The 19,027-nt window shown below is 40.3% G+C and overlaps 1 protein-coding gene across 1 annotated transcript in view, besides 1 other annotated feature; it reads left to right on the forward strand.

Annotated features, from left to right (window-relative positions):
* SORL1 (sortilin related receptor 1) overlaps nucleotides 1–19,027 on the forward strand; it is a 181,450-nt gene that overhangs the window by 36,309 nt on the left and 126,114 nt on the right. Inside the window, exons 5-6 of the mRNA NM_003105.6 lie at nucleotides 1,421–1,488; nucleotides 8,247–8,427. Coding sequence (NP_003096.2) covers nucleotides 1,421–1,488; nucleotides 8,247–8,427 — 249 coding nt within the window. The remainder of the gene's footprint in view (nucleotides 1–1,420; nucleotides 1,489–8,246; nucleotides 8,428–19,027) is intronic.
* Nucleotides 9,517–10,017: an enhancer, noted in NCBI's record as "H3K27ac hESC enhancer chr11:121368848-121369348 (GRCh37/hg19 assembly coordinates)". NCBI's record gives its function as "activates a minimal SCP1, AML or CMV promoter by ChIP-STARR-seq in primed H9 embryonic stem cells {active_cell/tissue: H9 hESC(primed)}" and the evidence as "EXISTENCE:reporter gene assay evidence [ECO:0000049][PMID:30033119]".

The following is a 19,027-nucleotide window of genomic DNA, read 5'->3' on the forward strand; positions in this document are numbered from 1 at the left end:
TGAAGTTACCACTAACAGTAATAGTCTTCCTTCGAGTGCGTGCGTGTGTATCATATAAATGTGTGTATTTTCCTCCTTCAACCCAGGTTTGAAGGAAATCTGAGAGATGAGGAAAGAGCCTGAGTAAGACTTATATCTCAAGGTTGAAGCTTGCCAAGTCAAGGATATTAGTTTGGCAAAAATCTGTGAAACTTGTAGATCCTGTATGATTGGATTTACAGTGAGCCTTGAATGTTTTTGCTCAGAGAAACCTTGGAACGTTTTTTTGCAGGTTGTTTAACCAAAACACAGATCTGTTTACCTTTGCTTGCCTTAGGGAGTAACCTAAGTATGGGCTGGGTCAGTTTACCAGCGGAGGGGGAATTATTGTTACTTTGGGTCTCCTGCTTCTTAATACATGGTTGCTAGGGCCGGAGGAACCCTCAGATTCCATCTGTGGAAGTTGAGGGGCTTTGGCAAAGATCAGCAGGTTAATTCCTCATTGCCACAGCCGTGTATTCAGTTGGTTCTCTGTGGGGCTCTGTACTTAGCTGGTGTCCTCTGCATTCATCTTTAATTATCAGGGCCCATTACTGTTGTTTTCTTCCTCTTTTTTGTGCGTGTTAAAATACTCATAACGTACAATTTGCTGTTTTGACCCTTTTAAGCATGCAGTGTAGTGATATTGAGTATATTCATATTGTTTTGCAGCCATCACCACCATCCATCTCTAGAACACTTTTCATCTTGCAAGACTGAAACGCTACACCCATGAAATAATACCTCTCTGCCCCCAGCCCCTGGCAACCACCATTCTACTTTCTGTCTCTATGCTTTTGCCTACTCTAGGTACCTCCTAAGTGGAATTAATACTATTTGTCACTTTGTGATGGACTTATTTCACTTAGCAGAATGTCCTTAAGATTAATCCATATTGTAGCATGTGTCAATTTTTTTCTTTTTAAGGCTGAATAATATTCCATTGTATGCATAGACCACATTTTGCTTATTTGCTTATCCCTCATGGACACTTGGATTGCTTCCACATTTTAGCTGTTGTGAATAATGCTGCTATCTGTGAAAGGTTTTTAAGGACACTGTTTCTTCGTTGAAAAGTGCTGAGTATAATCATCCTTTGGTTTTTACCATTACCTAGAGGCTAGTCTTGAGTGAAATATAATTTTTGGTAATCCATAAATGGAAGGCAAGTCCTACTCATTTTTCCTTCCAGTTGCTATTGAGAGAACACATAGGTACACAGTTGTCTTTCCTTTCTTGCCCTTGTTTGCTTTTGGAGCAACTGAGCTGGCTTTGGCAGTCTCAGTGCCTGCCTTCACAGACAGCGTGTCATGGAAGGTGGGATTTCAGCGGGTGTTTGATGGTGATGCCATTCAGGTTGTATTATACATGCCTCTTGCATCATGACCACTTGTCTTTGCAGCTGTGGAAGTCAGATGACTTTGGCCAGACCTGGATCATGATTCAGGAACATGTCAAGTCCTTTTCTTGGTAAGTTGTGTCATCTAAGAAATCTTGATATATGTAACCTCCTTTCTCCAGTTCTAGCTCCTTCTTGGTGGACAAACTGCCCTCCCCTGAAATGTCCAGCATTTATTCAGGAAATACATTTTTCCAGATCTGAGAATTAGAGCTGCAAGTACAATGATCTCACTGTGGGAGAGAGTTGGGGGGAGGAGAAAGTAAGGTATTTATGAGAGGAGTGGTAGAGCTTTTGCATTTTTCAATCAATCAGGGAACCCAGGGGAATCTTGAGGCCCTTGCATGTTTGTAGAGTTTCATTTTTAGAGCATCATATTAGAAGTGGGAGTTTTTCTCTATATAAAATTCATGCATTTCGCTGGGTGCAGTGGCTCACGCCTGTAATCCCAGCACTTTGGGAGGCTGAGGTGGGCAGATCACCTGAGCTCGGGAGTTCAAGACCAGCCTGGCCAACATGGTCAAACCCTGTCTCTACTAAAAATACAAAAATTAGCTGAGCATGGTGGTATGTGCCTATAAATCCCAGCTACTTGGGAGGCTGAGGCAAGAAAACTGCTTCAACCTGGGAGGCAGAGGTTGCAGTGAGCCGAGATCGCATCACTGCACTGCAGCCTGGGCGATACAGTGAGACTCTGTCTCAAAAAAAAAAAAAAAAAAAATTCCTGCATTTGTTCATAACATTTTCTTGAATGTCTGTTAAATATAAAACCTACTAGATTCTTAAGGGTATAAGAAATTGAATAATTTATGGATATAGTTATTAAGGAGAGGTAAGGAAAGACATTTCAGGTACGTAACACACATTGTGAAAGAGGCACAGAGGTAACAGACATAGTATGAGAAGCTAGAGAGAGGATTTATCCTTCCAGATGGGAGGATCATAAACAGCTGTGTAGAGGAGGTGGCCCTTGATCCAGGATGTGCACAACAGGTAGGATGTCCCTGTGTGGAGGTGTGGAGGACAGGAATTCCAGGCAGAGGAACAAAGTGACTTGCCAAAGGCACAGGGATGCGCCAATGTGGTGCTTGGGTAGAGAACATGAACTCTTAATTTTGGACAGTGTATTGGGTGAAGTTTTGAAAGGGAAGTTGGTATTAGAATCTGCATCGCTTGATAAAGGAATTTGGGCTACATTCTGAAAGCAATGAGGTACCCCTGTAGTTTTGTGAGAAGAGGAGTGAAATAAACAGGCTGTACTTCAAGAAGTACTTCTAGAAGTAAATAGTAATATACTTATCGTAATTTACTATTACAGTGATAAAGTAGTATAGGATCTTGAATTATATGAATTTGTACATGTGCAGGCAAATGTGTAGGACAGATTTCTAGGAGTGGGTATGCTGGGTCAGTGGGTTTATCTAACAGCTATCCATTCACTCACATGGATGACTGATAGATATTGCAAACTTGACCCCTCGCAAATTGACTCTTGATCTTCACCACCCCAAATCAGCTCCACCTATAACTTTTCTCATTTGCTCAGGCCAAAATCTTTGGAGTCATCGTTGATTTCACATTTGTTTTATGCTTTACATTCATTCTATCAGGAAATCCTATTGGCTTCACCTTCAGTATATATCTAGAATCTTCTACTCAGGTACCACTTCTAGTGCCAGCCTCCAGTGTCATTGCTCATTAGTCTCCCAACTAGTCTTTCTGCGTTTACTCTTGTTTTTCTATCATTAATTCTCAGCATGTGGTCAGTTTGAGTCTATTCAAATAAATTAGATCATTTTGTTCCTCTGCTTTGAACCCTTTAATGCTTCATCATTTCTCTCAGATTAAATGTCAGATACCTTCTTACCACAGGGAACAGGATATTTGCAATTGCTGTTTTCTCTGCCTAAAATGCTGTTACCAAAGATATACTTACTGCTTACTCCCTTACCTCATTCCAGTCTTTGCTCAAATAACATCTTCTAAATGAAGCCCACCTCATTTATGCCCACCTTAGGATCCTATTTAAAATTGCACCTGGCCAAGTGCGGTGGCTCATGCCTGTAATCCCAGCACCTTGGGAGGCCGAGGTGGGTGGACCATCTGAGGTCAGGAGTTCGAGACCAGCCTGGCCAACATGATGAAACCCCATCTCCACTAAAAACACAAAAAGTAGCTGGGCATGGTGGCGGGTGCCTGTAGTCCCAGCTACTCGGGAGGCTGAGGCAGGAGAATCGCTTGAACCCGGTAGGTGGAGGTTGCAGTGAGCTGAGATTGCGTCACTGCACTCCAGCCTGTGCGACAGACCAAGACACTGTCTCAATAAATAAATAAATAAATAATAACTGTCTCAATGAATGAATGAATGAATGAATAAAAATAAAATTGCACCTACTCCCCCATTACTCCCAATCTCCTGTACTGTGTTCTGTTCTGTTTTGCAGAGCACTTTACCACATTCTAATATACTATTATTATGCTTATTATTTGTCTTTCTCCCTTCAATAGAATGAAAGCTTCCCAAGGGCAAGGACTTTTGTAAGTTTTGTGCACTGATATATCCACAGTGAATAAATCCTTAAAATTGTAACTTTGGTAGAGAGTGCCAGATTTGATATAGAAAGTGTCAAGTTTGCACTCATCTCAACAATATAGAATAGTGTCTCCCTCCACAGCCAATGTGTTAGGGAAGAAATATTATCTCTGTGGTTTAATTTGCATTTTCCTTATTATGAGTTAGAACATCTTTTAATCTGCTTAAGGGTCATTTTTTTTTTTTTTTGAGACGGAGTCTTGCTCTGTTGCCCAGGCTGGAGTGCAGTGGCGTGATCTTGGCTCACTGCAACCTCCGTCTCCAGGGTTCAAGCAATTCTCTGCCTCAGCCTCCTGAGTAGCTGGGATTACAGGTGCCTGCCACCACGCCTGGCTAATTTTATTTATTTTTATTTTATATTTTTTAGTGAGAGTCTCACTCTGTTACCCAGGCTGGAGTGCAGTGACACTATCATAGCTTACAGCAGCTTCAAACTCTTGGGCTCAAGTGATCCTCCCACCTCACCCTCTCAAGTAGCTAGGACTACAGGCATGTGCAGCCATCCCTAGCTAATTTTTACATTTTTTTGTAGAAAGGAGGTCTCCCTATGTTTCCCAGGCTGATCTCAAACACCTGGCCTCAAGCAATCCTCCCACCTTGGCCTTCCAAAGTGCTGGGATTATGGTTTGTTTTATTTATTTGTTTGTTTGTCTGTTTAAGTATGACCAGGCTGGAGTGTAGTAGCGTGATCTTGGCTCACAGCAACCTCTGCCTCCCGGATTCAAGTGATTCTCCTGTCTCAGTCTCCCGAGAAGCTGGGATTACAGGCACCCACCACCATGCCTGGCTAATTTTTGTATTTTTAGTAGATATGAAGTTTCACCATGTTGGCCAGGCTGGTCTTGAACTCCCAACCTTAGGTGATCCACCCACCTTGGCCTCCCAAAGTGCTGAGATTACAGGTGTGAGCCACCGTGCCTGATCTCATGCCTGTTTTCTATTTGATTATTAGTCTTTTCATTGTTGGTTTCAAGGAGCTCTTTATATATTCGAGATTAGCCCTTTGGCTGTGATATGAGATAGATCGTATGTGTGTGTATTTATATTTCTATCTCCTAGTTTTTCATTTGTTTTTAGACTTTTACTTGTAATTTTAGTCCTCATTAAGTGTAATGGTCCCAGAAGATGTAGATACTGCCTTTGTTTCTTTTAGTTCTCCATGTAAAGTGAAATGTCTTTTAGTTGGTATTGCTTCCTTAGTAATAGAGGTAAAGATGGAGCTGGTATGTTGAGGAGCCTTACAGCTGACCATCATCAGACACCCATAGATTCTGTTTATGTTTCCACAGAGGGTAGCTGTTTCTGACCCTTTTGTTATTTTCCTTGAGCAAAAGTTGTGGGATCTTAGTGAAATTATAACCACAGTCTCATCCAAGGACACCCTCTGCTCAAGGAGAACCATTAGAACTTTCTTCTGCTTTATTTGAATTTTAAGGGGAAAAATTGTTCTTTTATCTGCTTAAGAAACTATAAATTAAGAGGGCAAACCAGCAGAATTACTAGATAAGGGAACATACAATTTAGAAATTTTAAGTTCTAAAATCATATTGTACCTTCTGCCTCTGTGTAGATATACAGATATCCTGGGAGAAAGGACTGGTTTATCTCATTGAAGCTAATGACATGTCGGTTAGGGGATTTTAGGCTATTTGTGGGATTTCTCCCCCTAGGTTTCCCCATAATAAGTGAAAGCGTAATCTAGTCTCTCAGAATAATGATATACATTTGTTCAACAATGCTTGGCGAGTTGGGAGCAGCAGGAGTGGGAAAGCTAAAAATTTACATGGTCCGGAGCTTGAGATTGGCAAGACAGAACAGTGGAAGACCTGGAGGGGGCTGAGGGGACTCAAAGATACCCTGTGGAGCATCATTGAGGGATTTCAGGTGAGGCCAGGTGAGGCTGGTGACTGCTCAGAGATAGAGCAAGGATTGGAATTTCTCAATGAGGACAAAGACAATAGAAAGTAGGTGTCAGTGAGCGTAAGACATTGGAAGTCTAAGTGATTGCAAAGTATGAGAACTTGTAGGTGGAGCAGCTTGCAGAAATGGGAGGTCCAAATATGGATTACGGAAGAAAATTGGGATGAAAGTCACAGTTCTTTCTATCTCTAGGTGTTGGCTGCTGCTTTTGGCTAGGAAGGAATAATAGAGGTGAGCTGGGTCTCAAAATAGCTCAATAAAGGTTCCTTCCTCTCTGCCGTTTTAAAAATACCAAGCAGCCTCATTTTAATTTGCATATCCTCTGGCTAGAGGAAGTACTTTAATCAGTACTTCTAATTGTGGAAAAGAAGAGAACATGCCACCACCCGCCCACACATGCACACAGAGGATCTGATAATGAAGAATAGTGTTCTCCCACACTAGGACCAAAGCTGCTGGTTTCTCCGTTGCCCTAAGAATCCAGATTGTAGGGCAAAACTCAAGTCTTGCTCCCATTGTAAAAAGAAGCTCTTTTTTCTTTGTTTTTTCAAGACAGGGTATTGCTCTGTTGCCCAGGCTGGAGTGCAGTGGCACAATCATGGCTCACCCAGCCTCAAACTTCCAGGCTTCAATCCACCCACCTCAGCCTCCTGAGTAGCTGGGGCTACAGGTGTACGCCAGCATACCTGGCTAATTTTTTTAAATTTATTTTTTGTAGAGGTGGAGTCTCACTATGTTGCCCAGGCTGGTCTTGAACTCTTGGGTTCAAATGGTCCCCCTCCCTACCCTGGCCTCAGCCTCCCAAAGTGTTGGGATTACAGGTGTGACCCACTACATCTGGCAAAAGAGGTTCTTGTTTTTCTGTTTCTTATTTTCCTTTTTGGGAGGGGTGGGGGGAATATGCTCTTGACAGTATATCTCTGAAGGAATTTGACACGATTACCTTCATTATTCTGAGAGCCATCATGCATATGGGATTGTATAAGGGCAGTTACCTAACTGAGGCCTTCTGCTTTTCCTTGAGTCATCACTCTGTATTCTCACTACAAGACTATCTTCCCGACTTTACCATTTATTTTTTCCATTTGCTGAATGGTTCCCATGGCCTTGGTGTTCTTGAGAATGTTAGGAGACCTGGAGCAGATAAGTTGTCCTCTGAGCTGCTGTGTGGGGATTCTTGGGGGATCACTGGCTCAGAAGTTCTTCTCCAAGGTAGTTTGGCCTGGTCATTCTATGTTTTCATTTTGGATTAGCTTCTTGAATTGCCCCACAGATCCAATGCAGAAAGTATCTCTTCAGCTAGGAATACTATAGGGTAAAATGAAATCTAAGACATGGCCTTCCGAGGCATCTATACTGTGTCTAGGAAGCTCAGACAAATACATAATGGTGAACAATAAAATACAGTGTCTAAGAGGCATTACTGCATAAAGGAATAAGACTGATTCTAAAAAATCACCCAACTAAAGGGGTTTTATACCTTTGTTTGGAGTTCAAACTCATGTAAAAGGCTTGGAATTGGATGCTGCAGAGGGATGTTATTGCTAGTGTTGGGAGAAGAGAGGACAGCACTGAGGAAGGCTTCCTGGAAGATGAAGACTTGAACTTGATGACAGAGGAGAGTAGGAATTGGATGGAGGGATCAGAGTGCGTGCAGAGGGCATCTCCTCACGAGAGTGTGGTGTTTGCAAAAGCACAGTGGGAGAAAGGTGCCCTCCCTTTCTGAAGGACATCAAGGAGATCAGTATGTTTGAGAAAGAGTTTGTGGAAGAGCCTCATGGGAGACGAAATGCACAGGCAGCTCCAGATTGCCTAGATCCATGACATTGGTAGGGGACAGGGCAGAGACAGGGCAGCGTCACTTGGAAGGATCAGGCTCAGAGGTTCATGGTGTGGTTTCTCCAGTAATGTTCTTCAGAGGATGTAGCACCTTGGGAAAACTCTCCTTCATTCCTCTGAGATTCATAACTTTAGACCAGAAACTTGCTTATAGCTTCAAGCAGTCCCTTGCTTATTAATTTTGAAACATTTTATCTTGTACTACTACTTTTTGCTCTTCCTAAGCAGGGCAGGGTTGCCTTGAGCTAAACCCAGGATGCTTTGAAAACAACATAAAACACCTTGCAAATGGCAATTTGTCCCCTCTATCCTGAGTCAAGGAGTAACCAAAGGGATATGTTTGAGGCACAGAGAGTATGATCTGTGGGTCACACCATGGTAGGCCTAAACTCTAGTTGATTATCCCATTGCAAAACTTCCATGCCTCTAGTAATTAAATGTGCAAATGATAACAACCTTTTTTTTTTTTTCTGCCAGGGGAATTGATCCCTATGACAAACCAAATACCATCTACATTGAACGACATGAACCCTCTGGCTACTCCACTGTCTTCCGAAGTACAGATTTCTTCCAGTCCCGGGAAAACCAGGAAGTGATCCTTGAGGAAGTGAGAGATTTTCAGCTTCGGGACAAGTACATGTTTGCTACAAAGGTGGTGGTAAGTTGAATGTACTAAAGAATAAACTACTTTTGAGTTTCCTTTGTGAAGTTTGGCATTCTGTGATTAAACAGGTGAGTTTGCATACACAGGAATTGGAAGGATGTGCTTGGGACAGATTGACTGAAGGGATCTCAACATTGACAACATTGACGAACATTCCGAAAGGGCTTGGCAGGTGCTAGGAAGTCAGAGGAGTGGAGAGGCCTAGGACAAACACTCAAAGTGGCTCTAGGCTCTAGGAATTTGGTTGTTTCCTGGTAGCCAAGCATCCTTGACAAAGACGTATTTCTTTGAAATCCCAATGAAAAGAACAAAGAATGGAGAGGGGAGGGTGGCTCAGTGGCTTCTTTCCTTTAATCCCACTGCCTGATTTCCTTTAAACTTATGCTGATTTCTTTGAGATTTTTCAACACATGTCAATTTACATGGCTAATAGGATGTGTAGTCATTGGCTAGTGGGAGTTAATGCTCTAAGAAAAGCAGTAATTAAGCTTCCAGCTGTCAGTAAGTAGCTTAACTCTCAGCCTTTGGGAAAATCTTCCCCTTGATTTGATGTGTTGGAGCCAGATGCCGAAATGGTGGGCTTGCTCATTCAAAACCAGAGTTGATTACTTAACAGGACTTGTCTTGAAATTGTATTGAGTTCAGTCTTTATCACCCTGGTTGTAAAGGAAAAAACCAGGCCCAGTCAAGGGCAGGTGGGGCTCTTATTTCTGGGAGGCTACTAGCTTGCTTTCCTGATGGTGCCCTTCCCTTGTTGACTCAGGGTCTGTTGAAGGCCTTTGCTAACTGGGAGGTTACTCTGTTGTCTTTCACTGTTAACCTTAGAGACTGAAATCAGACGTAATCTTTTCCTTCAGATTCTCATTTACTTCTATAATTGGTAGCAGGCCAGGTGGAAGTAGGTCAACCTTCTTAGTAGGATTTTAGGGTCAAGAGAGGATCTCCCCAGCAGGAAAAGCAGGGAGTAAGGACAGAATGAGAAGAGAGATGTGGGTGGCTAAAGGCTAGAGGCATTTCCAGTTACATACCTTGCAAAATGTTCTGAAAAACCATTAGCCTATGGCAGTTTTTCTTGTCAGGCCATTTGCATTGACCCATAGACATTGGTTCAGTGCCTTCCTGCCTTGACTGTTTCTTTATCTTTCTCTTAAACACACATGCACAAATATGTACAGCAGCCCAGAAACATAAGCATCCTCGAATGGCTTTGGGCAGGGATGGGGTGATGGGAACACACAGATAAGAAATCAGGCCCAAGCACTGGTGCCTTGTGACATCAGTTGGACAGTCTTGAGTTTTCAGTATGGTCTAAAACCTTGTCTTCAGTTCTCCAGGGTTTATAGGCCTTTTCTGCCTTAATGCCTTGGGCCTGGAGTTATTGTGTGATTTTAATTCTGAACTCTAAAACACATTGACTGACTGCCTGGTTTGTCCTCCTTTTTGCTTGAACCAGGGCAGGATGGATAGCTGTTGTGCATTTCTCTTAACCGGGTTATTTCTAGGTGTCACGGTCGAGAGTTTAAGTTATATCCCAGCTGGGCCGGGCATGGTGGCTCATGCCTGTAATCCCAGCACTTTGGGAGTCTGAGGTGGGTGGATCACTTGAGGTCAGTAGTTTGAGACGAGCCTGGTCAACATGGTGAAACCCCGTCTCTACTAAAAATACAAAAATTAGTCTGGTGTGGTGGCACATGCTTGTAATCCCAGCTACTCGGAAGGCCGAGGCAGGAGAATTGCTTGAATTTGGGAGGTGGAGGTTGCAGTGAGCCAAAATCATGCCATTGCACTCCAATCTGAGCAACAGAGCAAGACTCTGTCTCAAAAAAAAAAAAAAGTTATATTCTAGCTGGAGCTTTCTGTGCCCTCCATTCTAGTCTAACAGCTATGTCTGTTCTCCAGATGTATCTGATTTACAGAGTGCCTGTGGTGAGTTTTTAATTAAACCTGGCCAGTGGTAAGATTAGGGGTCATGTTTGTTTTGATCTCACCGATACAGTACCCAGTGCCTTGCGCTATGTTTGATACGCAGCAGATGCGCAATAGAGTTGAATGAATGCCATGTTTGCCCACCTAATTTAAAAAGTAGTCAATTTTTAGAAATTTGGTGGGAGACGTATTAAATTTTTGGTACTTTTATAGGCAATTCTTAACTCTCTGTATGGCTTATTTATTTATATGCTGTTGGTGGCAAAATTGTAGTTATGAGCTGGCTCCTCCTTCTGCACATGGATGAGCCACCAGATTCCAGGGTCAGTGGTATTAGTGAGAGGATGTAGGTAAGATGAGTTAGGCCACCACTGAGAGGTGTTTCCCAAATTGTGGTCTTAGGAGTACCCACGTCAGCATCAGGCAAGGACAGTTGTTACAAGTGCAGATTGCAGGGCTCAAATGCACTTTTCCCCAGATCATCCCAAGGTTGTCTAACAATCACCAGTTTGAGAAACTCTGCCCTGAGCCTTCTACAGGCAGATGCTTCAAATGACAGAGTTGTACTACTGTCTAGGGAATATTTCTCAAGGGATGGATTGATGGGAAAAGAAACACAACTGGCTGTGGATAGCACACAAAATATGTGCTTTCCTCCTTTTTATTACATCAGACTGCTAAACGACAAGGATAAACAAAGTTGGCCTCGGTCAGATAATCCCCTCCCAGTAAGAGTGTTGAAACCTGCAAGTGTAACTTTTTATCTGGGGTCTGCCTAGCTCTAAGGCTGCCTGAGCTTGGGAAATTCCAGCTGGCTTTAGTGTTAAATGAATTCAAATCAAATTGGGAAAATCAAAGAACTGATTTTAAAGCTACAGAAAGCTGGTTTTGCATGATTAACTCTTTTGCTTCCTTCCAGCACCATGAATGATTACAGTCCTTTGCAAGCTACTGTTTCAGCCCCCTGGCTTCTGGACTGGAGCTGGTGTCCAGGTCTTCAGAACCTCCTGGTACCCTGTTGGCCTCGCTCTGGCTTTATAATGTGCTTTGTATTTTTTGCCCTTAAGTTGCCTTGTTTAATTTTTATTCCTTGCTTTTTGACATGAAGTTCACTTATTTGTCTTCATAGTGTACATCAAAATGATAGGGCCATTAAAGAAACAATGAGGTTCCTCTGTGATTTGTTAATTTGGTAATATACAACTGTTAGGCTCTTTCAGTAGATAACAGTAATTGCTGAAAAGCTTGAGGTGGGTCAGGGTTAGCTACTCCCCTACAACCTCACAACCTCATAACCTCACTACCAGATTAAGATTATCATGCAAGCCAGGCCCAGATATTTCTTGCACAAATGTGTATCAGTAAGCAAAGACATGATCTGTGGACTTGAAGTCTCTTCTGTGACCTTACAGATGATGCAGCCACCCACGCCTTGCATGCTGCAGACGCTGTGTTCTAGAGTGGATGCTAGGAAACTATGGCCCACCACCTGTTTTTGTAAATGAAGTTTTACTGGGACACAGCCATGCTCATTGCTTATTTGTGGTCTAAGGTTGCTTTCATGCCCAGTGGTAGAGTTGCATAGGTACCTATACAGAGGCAATATGGCTCCAAAAGCCTAAAATATCTATTATCTGGACCTTTACAGATAGTTGTCTGACTTCCTGTAGTTGCTGACTATGCTGATAGTTGTCTGTTACCCCTTCAGTTGGCATCAGGTAACTGGAATCGCAATGTCTTGACAGGTCCCAGGCATTATCCAGAAAAGTATAGGTTATGGGCCTCTCTAAATTGTTATGCCCTGTTAATGACAGGATGGTATCTTTAGAATATTATGCCCAATTCAAGTATTTTGATGTCACACCAGTCTCCCAAGTGAGGGTCCATGTGTATTTTCATGATTCTGACTAAGCAACCACGAATTTCACTATTGAAAACCAATTTTCAACCTTAAGCTAATTTGCTCTCTAATGTTGATCAGAGGTAACAGAACAGTTTAGTAACTGCTACAGGGTGTTGTGGGCTTCTAGATGAGAAATCAGCTGACAAAACTGTGTTGTGAATTATAGGATAACTGACCCAAACCAAACTACTTATAAATTATTTTAACTATGTTACTTAAATGTATAAGCACCCAATGCTTATAACTCTCATACGTGATCAATAAAACCCAGATATTTACAGATTAAAAATAAAACTATAACAATACATTTAAAATTAATATTTGTTACAACTGTGTTGAGATACAATTCACATTCTGCAAAATTTACCCTTTTTAAGTGTGCAATTTAGTGGTTTTTAGTTTATTCATAAGGTTATACAATGATCATCATTACCTAATTCCAAATATTTTTATCACCTCAGAAAGAAACCACATACCCATTACCATTACTTCCTTCTCCTCCCTGATGCTGGTAACCACTAACCTAGTATCTTTATGGCTTTTTCAATTTTGGGCAATTTGTGTAATGGAAATCATACAATTTGTGACTTTATTAGTCCATTTTCATACTGCTATGATGAAATGCCCGACACTGGGTTATTTATAAAGAAAAAGAGGTTTAATAGACTCACAGTTCCACATGGCTGGAGAGGCCTCACAATCAAGGCGGAAGGTGAAGGAGGAGCAAAGGCATGGCTTACGTGGCGGCAGGCAAGAGAGTGTGTGCAGGGGAACTGCCCTTTATAAAACCATCAGATTTTGTGAGACTTATTCATTATCATGAGAACAGCACAGGAAAACCCGCCCCCATGATTCAGTTACCTCCCACCAGGTCCCTCCCATGACATGTGGGGATTATGGGAGCTACAATTCAAGATGAGATTTGGGTGGGGACACAGCCAAACCATATCAGTGACCTTTTGTGACTGGTTTCTTTCACAGTATAATGTTTTCAAGTTTCATTTATGTTGTAGCATGTATCATTACTTTAACCATTTTTAATGGCTGACTAGTATTGTAATGAATATAACACATTTTATTTATCCATCTATTAGTTGGTGGCCATTTGGCTTGTGTCTACTGTTTTACTGTTACAAACAGTGCTGCTGTGAATGTTCGTGTGCACGTTTGTGTGTGAACTTATGTTTTAATTCTGTTAGTTTATACCTGGGAGTGTAACTACTGGGTCATGTGACAATTCTTTTTTTTTTTTTTTTTTTTTTTTTTTTTGAGATGGAGTCTCACTCTGTCGCTCAGGCTGGAGTGCAGTGGTGTGATCTCGGCTCACTGCAAGCTCCGCCTCCTGGGTTCATGCCATTCTCCTGTCTCAGCCTCCCGAGTAGCTGGGACTACAGGTGCCCGCCGCCACACCTGGCTAATTTTTTGTATTTTTTAGTAGAGACAGGGTTTCACTGTGTTAGCCAGGATGGTCTCGATCTCTTAACCTCGTGATCCACCCACCTCGGACTCCCAAAGTGCTGGGATTACAGGCGTGAGCCACCATGCCCGGCCGACAATTCTATGTTTAACTTTTCGAGAATCGGTCAAGTGGTTTTCCAAAACTATTGTACCATTTTATATTCCCACCAGAAATGTATTAGGGTGTAGTTTTCCCATATCCTTGTCAACATTTGCTACTGTTTTTTGGATGATAGCCATCCCAGTTAAGTGTGAAGTGGTATCTTATGGTTTTCATTTGAATTCCTGATGGCTAAGGATGTTGAACATCTTTTCACGTGGCTGTTGGCCATTTGTATGTCTTTCTTGGATGGATGTCTATTCAAGTCCTTTGTCCGTTTTTAAATTGGGTTCTTTTTTATTGTTGAGTTATAATAGTTCTTTATTCTATATATTCTTTATATACAAGTTATATGATTTGCAAATCTTTTCTGCCATTCCGTGGTTTATCTTTTTACTTTTTTCTTTTTCAGCACTGAAGTTTTTATTTTTATTTTATTTTTTTGAGTTGGGGGTCTTCCTCTGTCACCCAGGCTGGAGTACAGCGGAGCGATTGTGGCTCACTGCAGCCGTGATCTTCGTGTGCTCAAGCAATCCTCCTATCTCAGCCTCCCAAGTAGCTGGGACCACAGGCATGTGCCACCATACCTGTTAATTTTTTTATTTTTTGTAGAGACGGGGTTTCATCATGTTGCCCAGGCTGGTCTCAAACTCCTGGGCTCAAGCAGTCCTCCCACCTTGGCCTCCCAAAGTGTTGGGATTGTAGGCACGAGCCACCATGCCCAGCCGTGTTTTTAATTTTGATGAAGTTCAGTTTATCCATTTTTTTTTGCTGCCTGTGCTGTTGTTATATCCAAGAAACTATTGCCTAATCTGAGGTCATGAATATATACTTCCCTTTCCTTTAAGAGTTATGTAGTTTTAGTTCTTACAGTCTATGATTCATTTTCAATTAATTTTTGTATCTAGTGTGAAATAGTTATTTACCTTCATTCTTTTGCATGTGGATAACCAGTTGTCCCACCACCATTTGTTGAAAAGGCTATACTTTTTCCTTGGCACCTTGGTTGGAAATTATTTTCTCATAAATATGAGAATTTATTTCTGGACTCCTTCTCTCTTTTTTTTTGAGACAGTTTTGCTGTCACCTAGGCTGGAATATAGTGGCATGGTCATGGCTCACTGCAGCTTTGAACTCCCAGGCTTAAAGGTCCTCCTGCCCCAGCCTCCTGAGTAGCTGCAACTGCAGGCATTCACCACTGTGCCTGGCTAAGTTTTTGAAGAGACAGGGTCTCACTATGTTGCCCAGGCCACTGCACCTGGCCTGTTTCTGGACTCTTAATTCTATTCCATTAATCTGTATATCTACCCCTATGCCAGCATCACACTGTCTTGATTACTGTAGTTCTCTAATAAGTTTTGAATTTGGAAAATTTGAACTCTCCAACTTTGTTCTTTTTCAAGATTGTATTGGCTATTCTGGGTTCCTTGCATTTCCATGTGTATTTTAAGATCAGCTTGTCAATTTTTTGCCAAAACAAAACAAAAACCACAGATAGGATTTTGATAGAGATTGATCTACAGATTCAACACAATTTGGAGAGTGTTATCATCTTAATATATCATGCCTTCCAATGCATGGACAAAGGATATTCTTCCATTTATTTAGGTTTTCTTTAATTTCTTTCAACTGGGTTTTCTGGTTTTCAGTGTACAAGTCCCGGACTTCTTTAGTTAAAATTTTTTTCCTGGCTGGGCGCGGTGGCTCACGCCTGTAATATCAGCACTTTGGGAGGCTGAGGTGGGCGGATCACGAGGCCAGGAGTTCGAGACCAGCCTGGCCAATATGGCGAAACCCCGTCTCTACTAAAAATACAAAAATTAGCTGGGCGTGGTGGAGCGCACCTGTAGTCCTAGCTACTCGGGAGACTGAGGCCGAAGAATCTCTTGAACCTGGGAGGTGGAGATTGCAGTGAGCTGAGATCGTGCCACTGCACTCCAGCCTGGGCGACAGAGCGAGACTCTGTCTCAAAAAAAAAAATTTCCTAAGTATTCTTTTTGGCTCCATTGTAAATGGTTCTTTTCTAAATTTCATTTTCAGATTGTTCATTGCTAATATATAGAACATGATTGATTTTTGTATTATTGATCTTATATTCTACAACCTTGCTGAACTTTATTAGTTCTAACTTTTTTGGTGTGTGGATTCCTTAGGATTTTCTGTTTACAAGATGATGTTGTCTGCTAAAAGAGACAACATCATCCTTTAATTCTTCCTTTTCAGTCTGGAGGCCTTTTATTTATTTATTTTTTTGCCCAACTGCCTTGGGTAGAACCTCTAGTAAAATGTTGACTAGGAGTGGAGAGAGTAGGCATCCTTGTCTTATTCCTGATCTTAGGGGAAATGCATTCAGTCTTATTAAGTATGATTTTTAACTGTGAGGTTTTTCTAGATGTCCTTTATCAATTTGAGGAAGGTTCCCTTCTATTCATGGGTTGTTGAGTGTTTTTATCATGAAAAAATCTGGGATTTTGTCAGTGCTTTTTCTGTGTCAGTTGCAATGATCATATGTTTCTTTTTTTTCCTCCTTTAGTCTATTAACATTGAATATTACACTGATGGATCTTTCTCATATGTTAAACCAATGCACATTTTTGGAATGAATCCCACATGCTCTTGGTTTATAATCATTTTTATCCTTTAATTTGTTTGGCAGAATTTACCATCTTTGTGGGAAGTTTTCTGGATACTAATTCAATCTTTTCAGTTTTTAAAATTTCTCTTTGGTTCAGTTTCAGCAGTTTGTATCTTTCTAGTAATTTGTTCATTTATTCTAGGTTATTTAATTTTTAATTATTCATAGTGTTCACACTAATCTTTTTTTTATTTCTGTGAGGTTGTTAATGATGTTTCTTATTTCTTTCCTAATTTTAGTAATTTGAGTCTTCTCTTTTTTTCTTGGTAAGTCTAGCTTGTAGTCTAGTTTATTAAATGTTGTTAATCTTTTCAAAGAATCAATATATTGTTTGAGTAATTTTCTTTATTATTTTTCTCTTCTCTATTTCATTTATTCCTACTGTAATCTTTATATTTCTTTCATTCTGCTTGCTTTGGGCTTAGTTTGCCCTTATGTTTCTATGTTCTTAAGGTGGATAGTCAGGTTATTGATTTGATATTTTTCTTCTTTTTTTATATAAGTGATTACAGGTATACATTTTCCTCTAATCACTGCTTTAGCTGCATTTCATATGCTTATGTTTTCATTTTCATTCATCTTAAAGTATTTTCTAATGATTCTTGTGATTCCTTTTGACTTCATTGATGATTTTTGAATGTGTTGTTTAATTTCAATATATTTGTGAATTTCCTTCACTTTTTGGTTTCTCATTTTATTCTATTATGATCACAGAATGTACTTTATATGGTTTCAGTTCTTTTTAAATGTATTGGGGCCTATTTTAATACTTAACATCTGTTATCCTTGAGAATGTGGCTGAACATGTGGAATGAAACATGTGCTTTGAGAAGAATGTGTATTCTGCTGTTATTGGGTATTATGTTCTATAAGTGTTTATTAAATCTACTTGGCTGATGGTGATGTTCAGTTTATCTTTTTCCTTTTCTGCCTTGTTCTATATTGAAGGTGGGAAAATCTTCAACTGTTGAAATCTTTAAGTATTATCATCTTGATTATTTATTTCTCCCTTCAATTCTGTCAGTTTTCCCTCATGTGCTTTGGAGTTCTGTTGTTAGGTGCATATATGTTTATGATTGTTAATTCTTCTAGATTGACACTTTTATCATTATTAAATGTCCTTCCTTGTCTCTAGTAACTATTTTTTGTCTTAAATTCTATTTTGCCTATTATTATAGCTATTCTTTTCTTCTGGGTACAGTAAACATGGTGTATTAGTCCGTTTTCATGCTGCTGATAAAGACATACCCAACACTGGGCAATTTACAAAAAAGGTTTATAATGGACTTACAGTTCCATGTGGCTGGGAAGCCTCACAATCATGGTGGAAGGCAAGCAGGAGCAAGTCATGTCTTACATGGATGGCAGCAGGCAAAGAGAGCTCATGCAGGGAAACTCCTCCTTTTTAAAACCATCAGATCTCATGAGACTTATTCACTATCAGGAGAACAGTGATAACACTATCATGGAAAAGACCTGCCCCCATGGTTCAGTTACCTCCCACCTGGTCCCTCCCATGACATGTGGGAATTCAAGATGAGATTTGGGTGGGGACACAGCCAAACCATATCACATGGCATATCACTTTTTCATCCTTGTAGTTTCAATCTATTTGTATCTTTGAATCCTTGTAAATAGCATATGGTTGTGTCAGGTCTTTTATGCATTCTTTTAATTTCTGCCTTTTGATTAGGATGTTTAATTTACTTACATTTAATGTAATTACTGAAAGGTAGACTACATATCTGCTATTTTGCTCTTTGCTTTCTATATTCCTGATAAATTTTTTTTGGATCCTTTATTACTTCATTACTGCCTTTTTTTGTATTAAATACAGATTTTCTAGGGTGACATTTAAATTCCCTTGTACCTTCTTTCACTAAATTTTTCCCAGGTGTTTTCTTAATCTGTGCTTTGGGGATTACAATAAATATCTTAATTTATGAAATCTAATTTGGATTAATAACAATGTAACTTCAGTAGTGTACAAAATCTTTGTCATTATATAGCTTTATTGTGTCCCTGCTTTTGTGCTATTATTGTTTCATCTTTATACTCTTTAAGCCCATCAGCACAGTTTTAGTCTAATTGAGGACTCCTTAGATGAGTCATTTTTCTTTGCTGCTTTCCAAGGTTCTTTATCTTTGGCTTTCAGCAGTTTTACTGTGGTGTGTCTGGGTATGGGTCTCTGAGTTTATCCTTTTAGGAATTCATTGAGCTGACTGGATTTATGTTTTTTATCAAATTTGGGGAGTTTTGGGTCATTATTTCTTCAAATATTCTTTCTCCTTTATTCTCTCATCTCGTCAGTGACTTTGGTAATGTGTATGTCAGGACACTTGATGGTGTTTCCTGGGTCTTTTAGGCTGTTTATTTTTAACATTCTTTTTTTTGTTGTCAGACTGAGACATCACAATTGACATGTCTTAAAGTTCACTGCTTTTTTATTTTCCTGGTTCAAATCTTCTGTTGAACCCCTCTACTAAATTTTTCTTTTATTATACTTTTCAACTCCCAAATTTCTATTTGCTTGTTTTTAAAAAATATTTCTATTTCTTTATTGATATTCTCT

The sequence above is a fragment of the Homo sapiens genome, chromosome 11 (assembly GCF_000001405.40).
Source record: "Homo sapiens chromosome 11, GRCh38.p14 Primary Assembly".
Taxonomy (NCBI): domain Eukaryota; kingdom Metazoa; phylum Chordata; class Mammalia; order Primates; family Hominidae; genus Homo; species Homo sapiens.